Source organism: Homo sapiens, chromosome 14 (assembly GCF_000001405.40).
Source record: "Homo sapiens chromosome 14, GRCh38.p14 Primary Assembly".
Taxonomy (NCBI): domain Eukaryota; kingdom Metazoa; phylum Chordata; class Mammalia; order Primates; family Hominidae; genus Homo; species Homo sapiens.
In genome coordinates, this window is record NC_000014.9 from 104,983,849 (window position 1) to 105,002,993 (window position 19,145).

Genomic DNA, 19,145 nt, shown 5'->3' on the forward strand with positions numbered 1-19,145 from the left:
CTGACCTTCCTGCTTCCTTCTCAGGACCTTTGTGATTACATGCCTCATCCAGGCTCCACTCCTCCTCTCAAGAGCCTTAATTTAAGCCCATCTATAAAGTGTCTTTGACCCTGTAAGGTCACATAGCCACAGGTTCCAGGGGTTAGGATGTGGACATCTCTGTGGGGCTGTTCAACTGCCACACCAGCTCTTCAACCCATATGGGTCATTTCTATCCTCCAACCACCCTGGGAGTACTGTGCTCCCCACGCTCTTCACGTGGAAGCTGAGGCCCAGACGGGGGTGGGGAATTGCAGAGAACGAGGAGAGCAGCTCCTGTCCCAGCTCTGCTTCTCACGCAGGCCTTTGGGGTGGGGCCTCAGTTTCCCCACCTGTACACAAGGACAACACTCCTCCTGCCCCCCTCCCAGCTCCCTGGGCCTCAAGGACGGCAAGGACGTGCAGTGGATGAGGGGCAGCAGTGGGAACGGACACTGCCCTTAAGCTGGCAAGACAGGCCCAGGCCTGGTCTACAAACCCAGCCAGCTCCTGATCACCATCCTTAGGGTCACTGCGGTGCTGGGGTGGCCAAGCCAAGATCCAGTCCTGGGCAGTCTGACCGAAGAGCTTCCATACTGCATGGCCCGGCTGCTCTGCCCCTCAGGAAGGAGCGGGGACAGGAGGCTGGGTCTAAGGTGCAGAGAATGATCTCATCTTGTCATTTGTAAAATTAAATTGTTCTGTAGCTTGGCTGAGAAGGACCAGGGAGGGAAGGGGTGATTCAAGCAAGGACAGAGTCCAGGCAGGGCCCCAGGCCCCAGGGTGGGAGAAATGCGAGCCTGAGGTAGATAGGGGGTGGACAGTAGGTGGCATGGTTCAGGGCTTCACCAGGGCCAGGCCCTCCCCTTACCCAGAGGAGGCAGTGATGGGGGCCAGTCTGGGAAGGCCAGGGAGGAGATGGAGTCAAGGTTGACTCCTTGAGTCTGGGGGTGAGGGCAGATGGCAGAAGGCCTGGAAGCCCGGAGGGGAGCTGCCAGAGGCCAGCCTAGCTCCTTGGTCGTCCAGTGGCTGGAGAGGGGCTGTCCGTCAGCCCTGCTCTGCCCGGGTCTGGCTGGTGACAAAGGAGGGGAGCACTCCATGCGGCCTGCGAGGGAGGGGTGGAGCCTCCCCGCAGCTCCTTCCCCCAGGAATGGGGACGAGTTAGGGGCGGGCGAGGTTTTGGGATTCAGGAGTCAGCAAGACGGACTTGGCTCTCGCCAGGGACAGGTGGGGTCCTGAGGGGCCGTCGCTCAGCTGCACCCACAGAGGGGTCGGCGGCGCGGCAAGTTAGGCTGCGGGGCGCCGGGAGAAGGGGCTGCGGGTGACGGGTGCGCTGGGACGGACCTGGGGAGCTCGTCGTGAGGAAGAAAGAACCACTCTAGGGCCAGGCCCAGTGGCTCAAGCCTGTAATCCCAGCACTTTGGGAGGCCGAGGCGGGCGGATCACGAGGTCAGGAAATCGAGACCATCCTGGCTAACACGGTGAAACCCAGTCTCTATTAAAATACAAAAAAATCAGCCGGGCGTGGTGGCGGGCGCCTGTAGTCCCAGCTACTCGGGAGGCTGAGGCAGGAGAATGGCGTGAACCCGGGAGGCGGAGCTTGCAGTGAGTCGAGATCGCGCCACTGCTCTCCAGCCTGGGCGACAGAGCGAGACTCCGTCTCAAAAAAAAAAGAAAAAAAAAAAAAAGAAAGAACCACTCGGGCGGCGAACTGAGCACGGACAGAAAGCTCGAGCGGCCCGGCGCCCAGGGCTCGGCCAGTGTGGAAGCCCGATCCCACCCGCAGCGGAGGCGGCCCGGGGCAGGGAGGGCGGGTCCGGGGCGGGTCCTGAACGGCGGGGGCCGGCGCTGGCCTCGCCCCGGATGCGTGCTGACGCCACGGCGACGGACGCCGGAAGCGGAGCTGGCGCACGCCGTTGCCAGGCAACGGGGCGGCGCAGGCAGGAGGGAACGGCTGGTTGCAGGTTTCTCTCGCCCTGGTCCCGCGCGGCCCCGCCGAGGCGGCGACCAAGGTGGGTGCGGGGACTCTCGGGAGCCGTGGGCCAGGCGCTTAGCCGGCCACCTCGGGCCCTGTCCAGGCCCAGGCGTTCCAGGGCTGCTCTGCGGGCCGCGTGCGAGAGGGACTCTCGGGAGGCCCCGGGGCGCCGCACCCACTCCTTCCCACTTGGGACTCCCGCGGGCGCCCGGCTCTCGCTCCTCTGGCCAGCGTGGGCCTCCCAGGCCCCCTCGCGGCTCTCTCCAGAGCAGGAGCCCCACCTTGGGCCGCCCCTCTCACACCTGCCGTGGGTCTGGTACGCGCCTCTGTGTCGGACTCCGCGCCCGCCTGCGTGGGAGGAAGCCAGGACTCCCGGGCGACCGGGCCATTCCTGTGGTTTGTGTCAGTTCCACAGCAGCACGTGGGCACTTTCCACCGTCAGCCACTGGGCAGCCCGGGGCACTCCTGCAGCGTCCCCTGGCCCTCTCCAGGGCAGGGGAAGGTTGGGCAGTCCTGGGCGGCCAGCACCCCGGCGTGCATGTCTCCTGAGCAGCTGCCCATCGGGCCTCTGCTGGCCTGGGGGCTCCAAGATGCAAGGCCGGCGGGAGCTGGGGGGAGAGCCTTTGAGTGACCTCCAGGAGGAAGCAGCCAGCGCTTCCCTCCGAGTGGCACCTGAGAGGCTGAGTGATGACAGTTTGGAATGGAGACGGACCTGCCCCGACCTTCTCCTGTCCGATGGGAAAGCCAGCATCTCCATGCCCCGTGAGGGCGGTTCCACCTGCACTGCCCGATGTCCTGACCCTGGGGAACACAGCAGCACTTGGGGGGAGTTTGAAGGCTTTCGGGAATCTTCAGCCAAGTCTGGACAATTCTCACAGTCCCTTGAACTCCTCGAGGGACCCACAGAACCCCAGCCACCGAGAACCACTTCTGCCCCAAAAGAGTGCAGTTCTCACCAACCATGCCAGGGTGGACCTTGGGTGACAGGAACTTCTGCCGTCCCACCTTCTGAGGTATTTCTGCTGTGCTGTGGTCACCATGTTGAGTGGGACGTGTACACACCAAGAGGCCTACAGCCCTCGAATGCTGTGGCGTGCTGGCCAGGGAGGGGGCTGACAGCCCCAGAGCGTCTGCTTCTCTCCTGGCCTTCGTCCCTGGCCATGTGGTTGGCAGTCCCATCCTGAGGCCAGGGAAGCAATGAGTTGGCAGAGGAGGCTGCAGAAATGGGTCACACGAAGGCCAGGTGGGGGCCACCTGAGCTGGGTCGCTCTTTCTGACCATTCCTCCCCCAGCCTGTCCATTCCCCATTGGTGGGGGCTGCACTGGCCCCAGCTCAGGGCATTTGAGGAGGAGCTTTTTGTCTGAATTCTGAATCTGCTGAGTTCAAAAGTCTCAGAGATTCTAAAATCACATGATCACATTTCAACTTGCTTGTAATGAATTGGGTGACGCGGGATCCAACCTGTCCGGGAGCTTGTAATGAATTGGGTGATGCCCATTCCGACCTGTCCGGGAGCCAGGGTCCCAGCCTTCAGGCCCCTGCCCCCTGCTCTCTTTCAGAGCAGACTGTGGGTGTTTACCGTTTGGTGACACTTCCGCTCCTTCTCTTTTCCTGTCTTCTTCCTTCCATTGTTCCTCTTTCTCTGCCACTTCTTCCCAAATGGTTCATCCCAAGCACCATCATGAGAGATCAGAAATAAAACCAGTGAGGAAGGAAATAAAGATATTGTAGTTCTCAGGGCTGGCCTGTTTTCTCTTCCTTTTCTTTTTTTTTTTTTTTTTTTTTTTTTTTTTTTGAGACAGCCTCACTCTGTCGCTGAGGCTGGAGTGCAGTGGCACTGTGTCGGCTCACTGCAACCTCTGTCTCCTGGGTTCAAGCAGTTCTCCTGCCTTAGCCTCCTGAGTAGCTGGGATTACAGGCATCCACCACCACGCCCGGCTAACTTTTTATATATATATATATATATGTATGTTTAGTAGAGACTGGGTTTTACCATGTTTGCCAGGCTGGTCTTGAACTCCTGACCTCAGGTGATCCGCCCGCCTCGGCCTCTCAAAGTGCTGGGATTACAGGCGTGAGCCACCATGCCCGGCCGGACTGTTTTCTGAAGCAGTTTCCCTGGAATCCTGATGAGATCCACTCTTAATAGAGTAAGGTCTGCTGTAATGCTTGTTTTGAATACAGGATTTGTTTTCCAGCGTGATTGATGTATTAGGGAACAATTAGAGCATAGTTGAAATTTCACAAGAAAGAGTAGATAAATGCAGAAAACTGCCCCCAGCTGAGCTGGGGCCCGTTGGAATACATGAGACTCGCACACGTACACCCTCACACAGCGCTTAGTGCCCCAATGTAGCACACCTGTCAACACCTGGTGTTAGGACTTCACCCGGTTCAGACCACCCTCCTCCTACCCCTTCACACTAACTCAGCCTGCGAGCCTTTGTCTTTTCCAAGGTAAAGTGCTGTGCTTACTGTAGTATGTATAATTTCTTTTTTTTTTTTTTTGAGACGGAGTCTCTCTCTGTCACCCAGGCTGGAGTGCAGTGGCACAATCTCGGCTCACTGCAACTTCTGCCCCCCACCCGCCGGATTCAAGCGATTCTCCTGCCTCAGCCTCCTAAGTAGCTGGGATTATAGGCGTGTACCACCACACCCAGCTAATTTTTGTATTTTTAGTAGAGATGGGGGTTTCACCATGTTGGCCAGGCTGGTCTCGAACTCCTGACCTCGTGATCTGCCCACCTGGGGCTCCCAAAGTGCTGGGATTACAGGCGTGAGCCACCGCGCCCGGCCGCATGTATAATTTCTTAACCAAACTGGAAAACAGCACTGACATTATTGGGTGGTCATCTTTTTTCATGTGTCACTGATGAAGTTTGAATGTTTTGCCCTAACCCCACCTTTCCCATGAGTCCTCTGGTTTTGTGTGATTTTGCTAACTTGGTGATTTTTAGGAATGAATATGTCAAGTGATAGTAACACTAATGGTATGATCAATTACAAATTTCATTTCTATCACAATTATTTCTTTGGAATAAGGTAACGTTATGTATGTCTTTCTCCTAACTTTGGTATGCTTTTCTTCTTTTCTTTTCAGCCCATTCTCAGCTATGAGAACATTTTAAAGTGTGCTTTTCAAGAAATAACAGTCCAGCAGGCAGCTGAAGACGTTTCCACCATAGACCATTTCCTAGAAATAAGCAGTGAAGAAAAACCTGGCGTTGAACGTGTACATAAATTGTGGTAATGAACTGAAGAAATATTTCTTACAGCAACTGCTTTTGTACTTTTGTTTGATAAAAGTAGGTGTGTGAGGCTTTGTTTTTGCCTTTATGGAGAGTAGCATCTCTCCTGAGGTCCCTGCCATCTGTGGGTCATAGGGGTCCTATGAGAAGGGGCAGCACGATTGGCGCTCCAGCTGTGGCCTTCCACTCTGAGCCCTATTCATCCTCCTCCCCAGCCAGCTCACCTGGAGCAGCTGGACCCAAGCCCAGCTCCCCTTGGGTCTCAGTGCCAGTGCTGGTGGAGTGGGTGGGGGCCTCGCATTCAGTGCGAGTGGCTGGTGGGCCTGGGCAGTGGGCACAGGGGCCTTCTGGGGGACTTGGCTGAGTGGGCACCGGCTGCCTCATGGTTCTCAGCCACAGAGTTCTAGAAAACGTTCCACACTCTGGAGCCCCATTGTCAGCCCCAGGCCCAGCCCCAGGGGTGCTCCCGGTGCTGCCTGCAGGGCCACAGGCTCCTAGGGGAAAGTGCACCCGCAGTCACTCGCAGATGGCCATTTTCCAGGGACACACTTTCAACTGAGCATTGAAAGACAGACAGCGCTCGAGTGGATTAGGCCGCAGTGGTTGAGAAGCTCGAGGTAAGTTGGCCCAAGGCCCCAGAGGGAGGAGGGAAGTGAAGGTTGGGGTGAGCTAGCTTCCCTGTCCCTCGGTGTGGTCTGCGGAGTGGGTCTCCCAGCAGCCAGGGGAGAGCCAGGTCAGCCTGCTGATTTTTGTGTCTCTGAGCAGGCCTGGACTTTCAGAGAGCTCTGCAGACAGGCCATTCTGGGCTCCAGCCCTGGCCCACCGTGTCCTCTGCTGGGGTCCAACCAGCACCTGCCCCAGGGTACCCTCTACAGGGGCTTGAGGACAGAGGCCTGGAGCCCAGAAGGCCGCAACCAGCATTGCCCAGATGGCCCGTGTGCCCTCTGTGTGTGGTGCTTCTGCAAAGCATGATCCCTGGGGAAAAACTGTGGAGAATGTGGTCCCAGCAAGCTGACGGTGGGGGTGGGCTCTGTGCTGGCAGCATTGACATCTCTGTCCCCAGCAGCACAACTCGCGGACCCAGAGGCATGGGGAGTCCTGGGTGTCAGGACTTGGCGGGGCTGGACACTCGTGGGACAGAAGGCTGGATGGTACTTTGGGGGTGGAGTAGAGCATGGTTTGTGTGTTCTGAAACACTGGGGTATTTTTGGAAATGGTTTGGTGTTTAGCACATTTGCTCTTCTTCTGTACTCATCTGGAGTGCAGTGGCACCATCTCAGCTCACTACAGCCTCCGTCTCCTAGGCTTAAGCGATCTTCCTGCCTCAGCCTCCTGAGTACTGGGACTACAGGCACCCGCCACTACACCCAGCTAATTTTTGTATTTTTTGTAGAGACAGGGTTTTGCTATGTTGCTCAGGCTGGTCTCAAACTCCTGAGCTCAAGTGATTTGCCCTCCTCAGTCTCCCAAAGTGCTGGGTTTACAGGTGTGAGCTGCCGCACCTGCCCTTGCACTCATTTTCCCTTCCATACTAGAACGTGAACTTCCTGCAGGCAGACCTTCTCAGTCCCTCACAGTGCGTAGCAGTGACGTGTGGCACATAGTAGACATTCACCGTTGGTTTGCTCATTTGTTCTCCTGAGCATGCACTGGTACTCGTAGTTTGGGAGCATCTGTTTTGTACTCAGCACAGTTCTAGGCACTTGAGTGAACAAAACCAGCAAAATATCTGGTCTCACGGAGCTTCCACTCCTTGGAGGAGACAGTAACGGCAGTAAGTCAGCTACTCCAGGGCAGGTGCTGTGAGGCATAGAGGGGGCACGGGAGGTGGGTTGGGGTGTTGAAGGATGGCACGTGTTGTTTGAATAAAAGTATAAATGAACAAATAAATGAGACAGCCCAGTGCTCCTGCAGGGAATGCTGTTTTTATTTGTTTTTTTGTTTGTTTGTTTGAGACAGAGTCTCACTCTGTCCCCCAGGCTGGAGTGCAGTGGCGCGATCTCCGCTCCCTGCAACCTCCGCCTCCCGGGTTCAAGCGATTCTCCTGCCTCAGCCTCCCCAGTAGCTGGGATGACAGGCGCCCATCACCACGCCCGGCTATTTTTTTGTATTTTTAGTAGAGACGGGGTTTCACTATGTTGGCCAGGCAGATCTTGAACTCCTGACCTCCTGATCTGTCAGCCTCAGCCTCCCAAAGTGCTGGGATTACAGGCGTGAGCCACTGTGCCCAGCCCGGGAACACTGTTTTTAGAGTTCTTAACAGCCATACGCCTCTTGGCTTGTGCGCGTCTCGGCTTGCGGGTAAAGGCCAGGCGCCCCGCTGCGTGCCTCGGGCCGTGCCTCATGATCTCCTCAGAAGGCTCTCAAGGTCACCTTTTAACAAGTGCATCTGTTTTCCAGTAACGAATCCAGAAAACTCTGGAGAGCCCTTCAGAGCATACACACCACGTCTACTTCTCAGCGCCTCTGGAGCGAGTCCCGTTGCCAGGAGAACTTCTTTCTTGTTCTCGGAATAGATGCTGCGCAGAAGGTAGGCGGTTTGGGTTGACACAGGGCTCCTGGGAGTGTGGTTGAACTTCACTGTCACCAGTGGCCCTTGGCCGCGCCCAAGGGGTGGGTGCAGGCAGAGGTGTGGGTTCAGGTGGGTTAAAGCCACTAGGTGGCCCCATAAACGTGTCAGGGCCACTGGATGACTCCCGAATGCTTGAGGCAGGAGCCAGCAAAGCCTAGAGCAGGAGGTGGGGAAAGGCTCTGGAAGGAACGGGCCTGAGCCTGCAGCAGACAACGCATTCAGAGATGTGCAACAGTGTGTGTGCACTCATGCCACTGCCGCCGCCACGCACATGCCACCACGCACACGCCGCCACGCACACGCCGCCACACACACGCCTCACACGCCGCCATGCACACACCTCACGCCACCACATGCCGCCATGCACACGCCGCCACGCACACGCCACCACGCACACGCCGCCACGCACACCCCGCCACGCACATGCCTCACACACCACCACATGCCGCCATGCACACGCCACCACGCACACGCCGCCATGCACACGCCTCACACACCACCACATGCCACCATGCACACACTGCCACGGCCACCACTCACACGCCACCACTCACATGCCGCCACGCACACGCCACCAAGCACACACACCACACACGCCACCACATGCGCCACTGCCACGCACAGACTGCCGTGCACGTGCTCAAGCTCCTGGGCTGTCGCAGAAAACGCCAGTCATAGGGAGGGCCGCCTTTTCAGAGATCTAGATTTCAATGATCTTTCCTCATTCTTAAATATTATGGAAATTTTCAAACATGGAAAACTCAAAAAGGGCCAGCCAGGCAGGCAGATTGGCCCTGGTGAAGACAGGGGCATGAAAATGGTTGCCCTGTTGGCCCATGGGCCACATTGGGCTGGCCAGGAAGGAAGTGAAGGGCAGAAAGGAACAGAGAGGCTCCCAGTGAGATTCGCCCTGACTGTGTCATTGTGTGAGGAAAACAGAGAACCAGGAGGCTAGGAAATGGGGGAGGCCTGAATAGAAGCCTCAGGTGCGGGCCAGCTCCGAGTGGCGGCAGCCTGAAGGGTGTGTCTGAAAGTGGCCGTGAAGACATTATTCCCATTGAGCAGTTGAGGGGCGCTGAGGTCCTGAAGGGGAGCGAGGCCTGTGAGCCGGGCATGAGGCAGCGAGTGGCAGGGCGACACAGGGGAAACTGGTGCGCTGACCTTGAGAGGGGCCTGAGAGAACTTTGCAGTTTTAGCATGAAATTAGTAGAGGGGCTCAGGGGAAAAGGAAACAGGAGACAAAATGATGACTGTACCGGCTGTCTGATGGGGTCTGTCTCCTTAGAACCTTTCTGGAGGCCAGGGCCACATCATGGAAGATTGTGACCTCAAAGAGCCTGAAGGACTCCTCACTGTCAGCAGCTTCTGTCTCCAGCATTGCAAAGCCCTGATCCAGACCAAGGTGAGTGGTCACCAAGGAGAGGCCTCAGGGAACCGCGCTGGCGGTGTCCACACATGTGGAGCCCTCCGCTTTCTCTGATGTGAGTCAGTTGCTTGTTTTCTTCCTTTAAGTCTTGTGGACTTCCAGAAAACAAACATTTGTGCTATTTAGGGCAGACAGGCAAATTGTGAACACCACTGCAGGGTGCCAAGGAATATAAATACCATCCGGAAAGACTCTCAGGCCAGAGGACCCAGGATATGGGTGGGTCACGCAGGAGAAGCCAGGGAGAGAAGAGAGCTGCAGGGAAGCTGAGACGCCAGGTGTGGATGACGAGGCTGGAAGGATGAGGCAGGACCAGGCTGTGACTGTTGGGCCAGGGGATGTTGACTCCGCCTGGGCAGCTGTCGTGAACGGATCTGACTGGCGGCTTCAGTCACGGGCCGCTTACCCTACACAGGGTCTGCCCACAGCTTTTCTCTCATGAGCCGCGGTTCTTGCCACAGAGTCACTTCATCACATCATCACAGCCGGGCTCAAGGCAGAAGAGGAGATGGGCAGAGAAGGGGACTTCTTCTTGCAGCTCTCTCTTTTATCAGGGGGAAGAAAAGCTTTTCTGGGCTGGAGTCTGGAGCCCACCCTCAGACCAAGTATTGCAGGAGGGGTGAGATGGCCAGGCCTAGCTCACCTGGTTTCCTGCTCACCCTGGAGACCCAGGACCTTGGAACAGTCGGGGCTCATTGTGTACACCCAGGAGATGGTGGGAGGGGCGCATGGGCGGCTGTGAGCATGAAGAGTGACATGCAGGGAGGCGCAGGGGTAAAGTACTGCCCTGTGGCCTGGTAGGAGGTAACAAGGACCTGAGACTGAGCTGGGACAGCAGGAAGGTTGCATAGCACAGGAGGCAGCCAGGGTCAGCTTCTGGGCAAGAATTAGGCATGAATGTGGCACTGCCCCCAGCTGACATGGGGTGGGTTCCCTGGATGATCAGCACACAGGTGACAGGCGACAGGTGCCATGGGGCAACAGGAGAGGGCCCTGATCGGCCGTCTTCACAGGCTGTCCATCTTTTTGAAAAGCACCATAGCACAGGAGGGTTATCCTAGAGCAGCAGCTGTAAAGAAATGTTCGTGGCTGTGTTGTTCACAGCAGCCGGTGGGGGAGACGTCCAGCCGCAGCTGTTTGGGGGAAGTCTGTGGTGTAGTCCAAGAGTGGCTACTGGAGGGCTGTGAGTGTGCAGGGTAGTGGCAGCCTCCACCAGGGAGTGCCAGACACGTAGCACAAGGGCCAGAGACCCCGCCTAAGATGTGGGCCCACTGCTGTCTTCGGGGCTGGCTGCAGGCCAGAGCCACAGACTGCACCATGAGGAAGCCCCAGCATGTTTTCCCTGGGCGCCTCTCTGGTGACATCCCATGATGAGAAGGTTTCTAAGAGGAGAACCAAGGAGAGAACACTAGGGGGCCGAGAGGCAGGGGGCGGCCAGGGGCAAACGCCCAAGCTAGCGCTTCTCATTGCCCGGGGTGCGCGCGCCTGACTGCTGTCCTCTCATCTCAGCTCTCGGGGCCGCCTGGCAGCAAACAGGGGAGGCTGATGACATGCAGCCGCTTCCTGAAGACCCCCTCATGCGGAGGTGGCCAGCACATCACTATTCCAAGGAAAAGGATGTTCACTCCACGCAAGCTCAAACTGACACTCTTTAATAGCGACGTTTGCTAAAATCAGGAGGACTTTGTACCTTTATGAGGAATTTTTCATTTTCTTCCTGGCTGGGTTGATGTGGAAACCAGAGCTGTCTGTGGAGCTGTTTTCCAGACCCCAGGCCCATTCCTGGGATCTCTCCAACAGGACCTGTCCTGTGTTCTGGGCTTGTCTCGGGTCTGACCAGGAGATGGAGGATGTGTCCTTGGCAGAGCCAAGGGGAGACAGAGGTTTCTGGATGCCATGACAGGCTGTCGGGGTCCAGGTGGCACTCATGGGCCCCCTGCCCCATGTGAATGCTGCTGGCACCTGGTGGGGGGTTGCCCAGGGATGGACCCTGGGCATGGCTTCTGGGCTGCTTAGTCCAGGGGGAGCAACTTGTGGCCAAATCCATGAGTTCAGAGGAAAAGGGGAAGGCACTGAAACGTCACCAGAGAGACAGCTGTTGAGACCGCTCAGAAACCCTCTGTCTGTCACACTCTGCCCTGGCTGCTGTGTGGTCAGGGCACCATGAGGGTGTACAGATGTGCTGTGTCCTCAGAGCCTCGCAGGTGCCCTCACTTACTGCCTGGGCCCCTGCCCAGCAGCCTCAAGGACAGGCCTTTGTCCCTCACGGTTGTGGACAGGAGGTCGCACCACTGGCCTGCGAGAGCCTCTGGTGGGCCCGTGGCTTCCCCCAGTTATCTGCTAAGGAAAACTGTGCTCTTCGAAGGGCAGAGCCAAGAAGTCAGCCCTGACTTTTGTAAAATTTTACTAAATAAAACCACCTGGATAAGCCTGTTGTCACTGGTTCATCAGCTGGGGGGACTGATACCTGAAATCCTGTCCCCAGGGGAGGCCTGAAGTCTTAAGCAAGCAGCCACCCTGGCTGTCTCTTTTCCTGCCAAGGCCACACAGGGGACCATAGCCTCCATGTCACTGTGGTATCAGTGCGATGTGCACAGTGATGGGCAGGAGTTTCCATCATGAGGGAGGAGGAAGCAGATGTCCCTGCACAAACCCTGGCCTCGGCCACCCAGCTGCATAGCCAGCACCATGTTGCACGTGGCTCTAGGTCTGTGATGAGGAGAATTCCTTTTTGTTTGTTTGTTTCTGGGTACCACATGGTTTGGAAAGCTGCCTTTATTTTTCATTTTCAGCCAGGGGAAAGTGGGAATTTAGAGACTGTTTTTCTAACACACAGCTTCCTTCAAAGGCACTGTCTTTTGGGCCCTGCCAGCAGAGCCCCTCCAGGAGATGCCCTGGTTTCCTAACCTTTAAAAGTTAGACTTTAACAAGCCAAAATACTCCATCCTGCTCCTCCCACTCCAAGATTCGGGTTCAGACTGTGCCATGGCATCATGGTGTCACCCATGGTGGCCCTTGCTCCTCACCTGGCTGGATGTTGGTGACCCACAGACCTCAGAAGGCCAAGCCTTTCTTCTGACTTCCCTGTGGCCTCACAGGAACCTCAGAAGCAACAGGTTCCAAACCTGACTTCTGTGGCACCCACTAGAGAAGAGAGGCCCTGCTGCTCTCGTCCCCAGAGGGGAGTGAGAGGAAGAGGCCCCTCAGAGTCAGGTAAGGAGGGACCAGGCGACGTACATGCAAACCACTTGTCCACTAGTGCGGCTGCCAAGCCCCCAGGGTCTGGAGGACCCTGCAACAGGCAAGTCCAAAGCTCCCTGGCCTCCCTCAGGTCCACACTGAGTGCTCAGGAAGAAAGTGCCAAAAGCTGGGAGTGGGGGCAGGGAGCTGACGGACACTCCCTCGAGAACGCCCCTCTCACAGATATGCTGGGATTTTTGTTCCCAAAGTCTGGAGGCCCAGCAGGGGAGCTGGGACAGTGGGCGGGAGGCAAGCCCCCAAAGGCTGAGGAAGAGGCTGCAAGACACCCCGGGCGCAAGGCGAGGGGCTGGAATGGAGAGCAAAGGAAGCCTCCAGTGGCCAAAAAGGACGGCAGTCCGGCTGAAGAACGGAGAAATCATGCAGCCCCCAAAGCCAGTGGCTTGGCTGCGACACACAGGCTGATGTCCAGAATCACTGTGCTCAAAGCTCAGACCCCACCGAAGCCATGCCCTGATGCCACCCTCAGGGCGTCTGAAGGCCTAACTACAGCTGCAGAGAAGTCCAGAGCTAGCTCAACTACCGGGAAGGACAACTCTGTTCCCACTCTGGCAACCTCACAGTGGAAGGCACGTGCCCCTCTGTGGAACTAAACGTTGTTTGCTTCAGCCTCGATTGTTCTTTTATATGAACTGTCTAGCCTGCAGTAAGACATTACAAGACACATGAAAAGGCAAGAAAACGTGAGCCACAGTGAGCAGTAGAAGCAGAGTCAGCCCCAGTGGTAAAACTGAAGTCAAGGGCTTTGAAGGAACTCTGGGGAGGTGGGGAGGGCCTGTGGAAATGGCGGGTGACATTCACCAAGAGATAGGGATGTTCAGCAGAAACAGGGACACTTCAGTAAAAGACAGAATGAAGATGCTGCAAATGAAAAATACAGTATATAAATGATCTTTAGATGGGTTTAACAGCAGACTGGACATCACAGAGGAATGGATCAGTTAACTTGAAGATTGGTCACTAAAGAAGATCCAAACACAGAGAGGGGAGGGAAGACGACAGAGGGTCCAAGATCTGTGGGCCAAAGTCAGATGGCCTAACTGGGTGTAACTGGAGTCCCAGAGCAGGAACAGGAGAGAATAAAGAAGAAATATTCCAAGACCGAATCACTAAGAACTTTCTGAAATTCATGAAAGAAAATAATCCACAAATCCAAGAATCTCTGTAACTGCAAGGAGGTGACGTGGAGAAAACCGTACCTGAACACATCCTACAGGCCTTAAAGGCAGCTAGGATGGAAACAGGAGATTCATATAGAGAAGCAACGATAGGAACAATGGCTCACTTCCCACCAGAAGGCCACGCACGCACCCACATCTGCGGTGCTGAAGGGAAAAGGAAGGTCAACTTAGAAGTTCACATACATTGAAATATTCTTTAGGCTGGTCACAGGGGCTCACACCTGTAATCCCAGCACTTTGGGAGGCTGATGCAGGTGGATCACCTGAGATCAGGAGTTTGAGACCAGCCTGGCCAACACGGAGAAACCCCATCTCTACTAAAAGTACAAAAATTAGCCAGGCGTGGTGGCGCATGCCTGTAATCCCAGCTACTTGGGAGGCTGAGACAAGAGACTTACTTGAACCTGGGAGGGGAAGGTTGCAGTGAGCCGAGATCACGCCATTGCACTCCAGTCTGGGCAACAGAGTGAGACTCTATCTCAAAAAAATAAAGAAAGAAAGAAAAGAAAAAAATATTCTTTAAAAATGAAGGCATTATCAGCCAGGATACAGAAACCACACCAGTTATCTGAAGAGGAAAAAATGTAAAGAATTACTAGGCCCGGTATGTGGTTCATACCTGTAATCCCAGCACTTTGAGAGGCCAAGGTGGAAGGATTGCTTGAGGCCGGGAGTTTGAGACCAGGCTGGGCAACATAGTGAGACCCCCATCTCTACAAAAAAGTAAAAAAAAAAAATTAGCCTGGTGTGGTGGCGCTCACCTGCAGTCCCAGCTACTCAGGAGGCTGAGGTGGGAGGATTGCTTGAGCCCAGGAGTTGGAGGCTGCAGTGAGCTGTGATCACACCACTGCACTCCAGCCTGGGCAACAGAGTAAGACCCTATCTCTTAAAAAAAAAAAAAGAATTAAGTAGTAAAAGTTGGTTAACTACTAAAAGGGTCTTGGTTTGGTTTGGCTTGGGTTAGAGACAGGGTCTTACGATGTTGCCGTGCTGGTTTTGAACTCCTGAGCTCAAGCAGTCTTCCTGCCTTGGCCTCTCTTTTTGTTTTTTGTTTTTCAATAAAGACTTACTTAATAGGCCCTGAAGTAGCAGGTGCGGGAAAGCAGCTTCTCTGGGTTGGCGGTGAGGTACAGTGAGGAATTAAGGCCTGGCCAAGGCCCCCTGCCCTCCCAGGCTGAGACGCAGGCCTTTCACAGTGAGTGTGGCTATATAGGAACAGGCCTAGGCAAAGGAGCTGAGCTGGAGCTGGTCTGCAGGGACAGCTGGCAGGACAGGTGCCCCCAGGAGCACCCTACTGGAGTGGCTCAGGAGCAGAGCCAGTGCAAACACGGGGCATGCTGGGGCCCATCGTGCCATGCTGGGCTCCTGTGCCAAATAACACTGATGGAGGACCAGACCCAAGAGGGAAGCCCCTCTCCCAGCCAGCTACTGCCGCTTCCCAGCTGTCTGCAGTCAGTGCTGAGTAGAGAGTGGTGCAGAGCCAGCCGTTTCTGCCCACCTCGGCCTCAGATGGACACTCTATCCAGGGCCCATGGGTGTGGCAAAGGCCCTTCCTCCCACAGATGCCAGGCTTGCATTGAGGCTGACAGCTTTCCTCTGCCTGCTCCTGCTTTCTAACCCTTTTGTCCTTCATAAGTATTTCCCCAAATAAACTTCTTGAATGTGTAAATCTGTCCTGGCCTTTGATTCCTAGAGGCCCTGAAGGAACGTGACCATCACCTGACCTGAGTGACACTGCAAAGCCCTCATTCTTTCTAGTGGACGTGGAGCTCTCTCCAAGCAGATAACTGAGCCGTCAGCCACATCAGAGGCCAGGGACATGGCCTTCAGAGGCTTTGGCCATCATGCAAAAAACCTGGCCACCCTGAAGCCTCTATGCTGGAGAAATGTCTGCAGTGATCCCACAGAGATGCTGACAAGATGCCCAAGGACCCAGCTGCTGGAGCTTTCCGGCCAGCATGCCAGCCCTGGGAGGAGGGAAGCCTTCAGGGTGGGGTGCATCCAGCTGCAGCTGCTGCCTGACAGCAGTGGCCTGACAGATCCCAGCAAGAACCACCCGGCTGAGCCCAGCCAAGCCGTGGCATGAGATCATGGCAGTAACAGATGGTAGGTGCTGCATGCTGTGAAGCTAGTGATGGCAGCTACACAGCAGGAGGTCATGAAAACAACACATGTCCAGATAACCAGTGGGTCCATAGAGGTCACTGGAAACTTAGTAATTGAAACTGAATAATGAAAATGGCACTGATCAAAATCTGAGTGAATGCAGTGCATAGAAGGAAATTTATAGCTTTAAATGTTTATATTAGAAAGTAAGAAAAGTACAAAACCACCTAAGATTTCATGTTAATGTGCAAGAAAAAGAGCAAATTAAACCAAAAGTAAGCAGAAAGAAGGAAATAAAACTGAGTGCCAAAATCAACAAAATGGAAAATGGCAGAACACTAGGAAAAAGGGATGGTCCTAAGTGAAGACGTAAGAGCATGTGATGTGCAGCTCTCGCATGACTCCTGATTCAAACAAACCAAATGTAGAGACAACTTCGAATAACACACAGCGAGGAAAAGCAGGCAGCCTCTGCCCAACACAGCCAGGAGACAGCCTCGGAAATCGGAGAAAATATTTGGAAACCATATGTCTGATAAGGGGTTAATATCCAAAATACATAAGGAACTCAAACAACGTAACAGGAAGAAAACCCAGATAACCTGATTGAAAAAATAGGAAAAGGACCTGAACAGACATTTTTTCTTTCTTTCTTTCTTTTTTTTTTTTGCTGTGTCGCCCAGGCTGGGGTGCAATGGTGCAATGTTAGCTCACTGCAAACTCTGCCTCCTGAGTACAAGTGATTGTCCTGCCTCAGCCTCCCGAGTAGCTGGGACTACAGGCGCCCGCCACCATGCCCGGCTAATTTTTGTATTTTTAGTAGAGACAGGGTTTCACCATGTTGGCCAGGCTGGTCTCGAACTCCTGACCTCAGGTGATCCACCTGCCTCGGCCTCCCAAAGTGCTGGGATTACAGGCGTGAGCCACCGCGTCCAGCCAAGCAGACATTTTCCAAAAATATATATATATCTATTTTTATATATATACACACACACAAATGACCAACAGCTATACAAAACCAATGCTCCATATCAGTAATCATCAGGGAAATGCAAATCAAGACTGCAATAAGATACCCCCTCACACCTGTTAGGATGGCTATTCTAAACAGATGAAATGTCGGTGATGGTGTAGAGAAATGGGAATGCTTGTGCACTGTTGGTGGGAGTGTAAAGTAGTACCGCCGCTATGGAAAACAGTATGGAGGTGTCTGAAAAAGTTAAAAATAGAACTACCATATCATCTAGCAATCCCACTACTGGGTATTTATCCAATGGAAAGGAAATCAGTATGTTGAAGAGATACCCGCACCCCCATGTTTATTGCAGCACTAGTCACCATAGCCAAGCTATGGAACCAACCTAGGTGTCCAACAACAGATGAATGGATAAAGAAAATGTGGTACATACGCACAATGGGATACTATTCAGCTGTAAAAAAAAAAAAAAAAAAAAAATGAAATCCTCTCATTTGCAACTGTCTAGATGAACCTGAAGCATTTATGCTAAGCGAAATAAGCTGGTACAGAAAGACAAACCCCACGTGATCTCACTCATACGTGGAACCCAAAAAGTCAAACTCGCCAGGTGTGGTGGCTCATGCCTGTAATCCCAGCACTTTGGGAGGCCAAGGCAAGAGGATCACGTGAGTCCAGGAGTTTGAAACCAGCCTGGGCAACAGAGTGATACCTCATCTCTACACAAATATAAAATAAAGGCCGGGGCCTGACATGGTGGCTCACGCCTGTAATCTAAGCATTTTGGGAGGCCGAGGCAGGCGGATCACCTGAGGTCAGGAGTTCGAGACCCTCCTGGCCAACATGGTAAAACCCCGTCTCTACTAAAACAAAAATTGGCTGGGCATGGTGGTGTGTGCCTGTAGTCCCAGCTACTCGGGAGGCTGAGGCAGGAGAATTGCTTGAACCCAGGAGGCATAGGTTGCAGTGAGCCAAGATCGGGCCACTGCAGTCCAGCCTGGCAACAGAGCGAGACTCTGTCTCTAAATAAATAAATAAAATAAAATAAAGGCTGGGCATGGTGGCTCACGGCTGTGATCCCAGGACTCTGGGAGGCCAAGCTGGGCAGATGACTTGAGGTCAGGAGTTTGACACCAGCCTGACCAACATAGTGAAACCCCGTCTCCACTAAAATACAAAAATTAGCCGGGCGTGATGGTGCGTGCCTGTAATCCCAACTACTCAGGAGGCTGAGGCAGGAGAATCACTTGGACCCGGGAGGCGGAGGTTGCGTCGAGCCAAGATCGTAATCCCTGCACTCCAGTCTGGGTGACAGAGCGAGACTCTGTCTCAAAAAAAAAAAAAGCAAAACTCAACCCAAGAGATTGAGGCTGCAGTGAGCCATGTTTGCGCCACTGCACTCCAGCGTGGGTAAGAGCAAGACCCTGTCTCAAAAAAGAAAGGGGAGTTCACAGACGCAGAGTAGACTGGTGGTTGCCGGGGGCTGAGGGCTGGCTGGGGAGATGGTGGCCAAAAGATGCAAAATTTCAGTTGCAAGGAATGAGCTCGGGGATCTCTTGTACGCAGGGACCGTAATCAGTAACAATGGATTACATTCTTGAAAACCACTAGGAGAGACTGGCTACGGTGGCTCACGCCTGTAATCCCAGTACTTTGGGAGGCTGAGGCGGGTGGATCACGAGGTCAGGAGTTCTCGAGACCAGCCTGGCCAACATGATGAAACCCCATCTTTACTAATAATACAAAAATTAGCCCGGCGTGGTGGCACATGCCTGTAGTCCCAGCTACTCAGGAGGCCGAGGCAGGAGAATCGCTTGTACCTGGGAGGTGGAGGTTGCAGTGAGCCAAGATTGCACGACTGCACTCCAGCCTGGGCGGCAGAGCAAGACTCCGTCTCAAAAAAATAATAATAAAACCACTAAGAGAGTAGATTTAAGTGTTCTCACCCCAAAAAGTGACAAGTATGTGTGGCAGTGCATATTAATTAGCTCGACTTAGCTGTTTCACAGTGTACACATATTTCAAAACATGTTGTACATGATATACAATTTTTGTCAATTTAAAAATTAATTTTTTTTTTTTGAGACAGAGTCTCACTCTGTCACCCAGGCTGGAGTGCAGTGGTGCCATCTTGGCTCACTGCAACCTCCGCCTTCCAGGTTCAAGCGATTCTCCTGCCTTAGCCTCCCGAGTAGCTGTGACTACAGGCCACCATGCCTGGCTAATTTTTGTATTTTTAGTAGAGACGGAGTTTCTCCACATTGGCCAAGCTGGTCTCGAACTCCTGGCCTCGTGATCTGCCCGCCTTAGCCTCCCAAAGTGCTGGGATTACAGGCATGAGCCACCACGCCCGGCCTAAAAATTAATTATTATTATTATTATTA

At 54.2% G+C, this 19,145-nt stretch overlaps 1 protein-coding gene across 3 annotated transcripts, besides 1 other annotated feature; it reads left to right on the top strand.

Annotated features, from left to right (window-relative positions):
* Window positions 1,729-2,198: a silencer, noted in NCBI's record as "silent region_6209". NCBI's record gives its function as "represses an Ori minimal core promoter by ATAC-STARR-seq in GM12878 lymphoblastoid cells {active_cell/tissue: GM12878}" and the evidence as "EXISTENCE:reporter gene assay evidence [ECO:0000049][PMID:35858748]".
* CLBA1 (clathrin binding box of aftiphilin containing 1) lies at window positions 1,940-17,426 on the top strand. Of its 3 annotated transcripts, none has more exons than XM_005267318.5 (5): window positions 1,940-3,006; window positions 5,095-5,240; window positions 7,643-7,772; window positions 9,100-9,216; window positions 15,373-17,426. In XM_005267318.5, the coding sequence occupies exons 1-5, from the start codon at window positions 2,584-2,586 to the stop codon at window positions 15,379-15,381; spliced, it is 825 nt and encodes a 274-aa protein (XP_005267375.1). In that variant the 5' UTR covers window positions 1,940-2,583; the 3' UTR covers window positions 15,382-17,426. The 3 variants fall into 3 exon arrangements, with proteins under 3 accessions (XP_005267375.1, NP_777551.2, NP_001351099.1); NM_174891.4 differs by lacking the exon at window positions 15,373-17,426 and adding an exon at window positions 10,750-11,668; NM_001364170.1 differs by lacking the exon at window positions 15,373-17,426 and adding an exon at window positions 9,367-10,743 and having other exon boundaries at window positions 2,431-3,006.
* The last annotated feature ends 1,719 nt before the right edge of the window (window positions 17,427-19,145 follow it).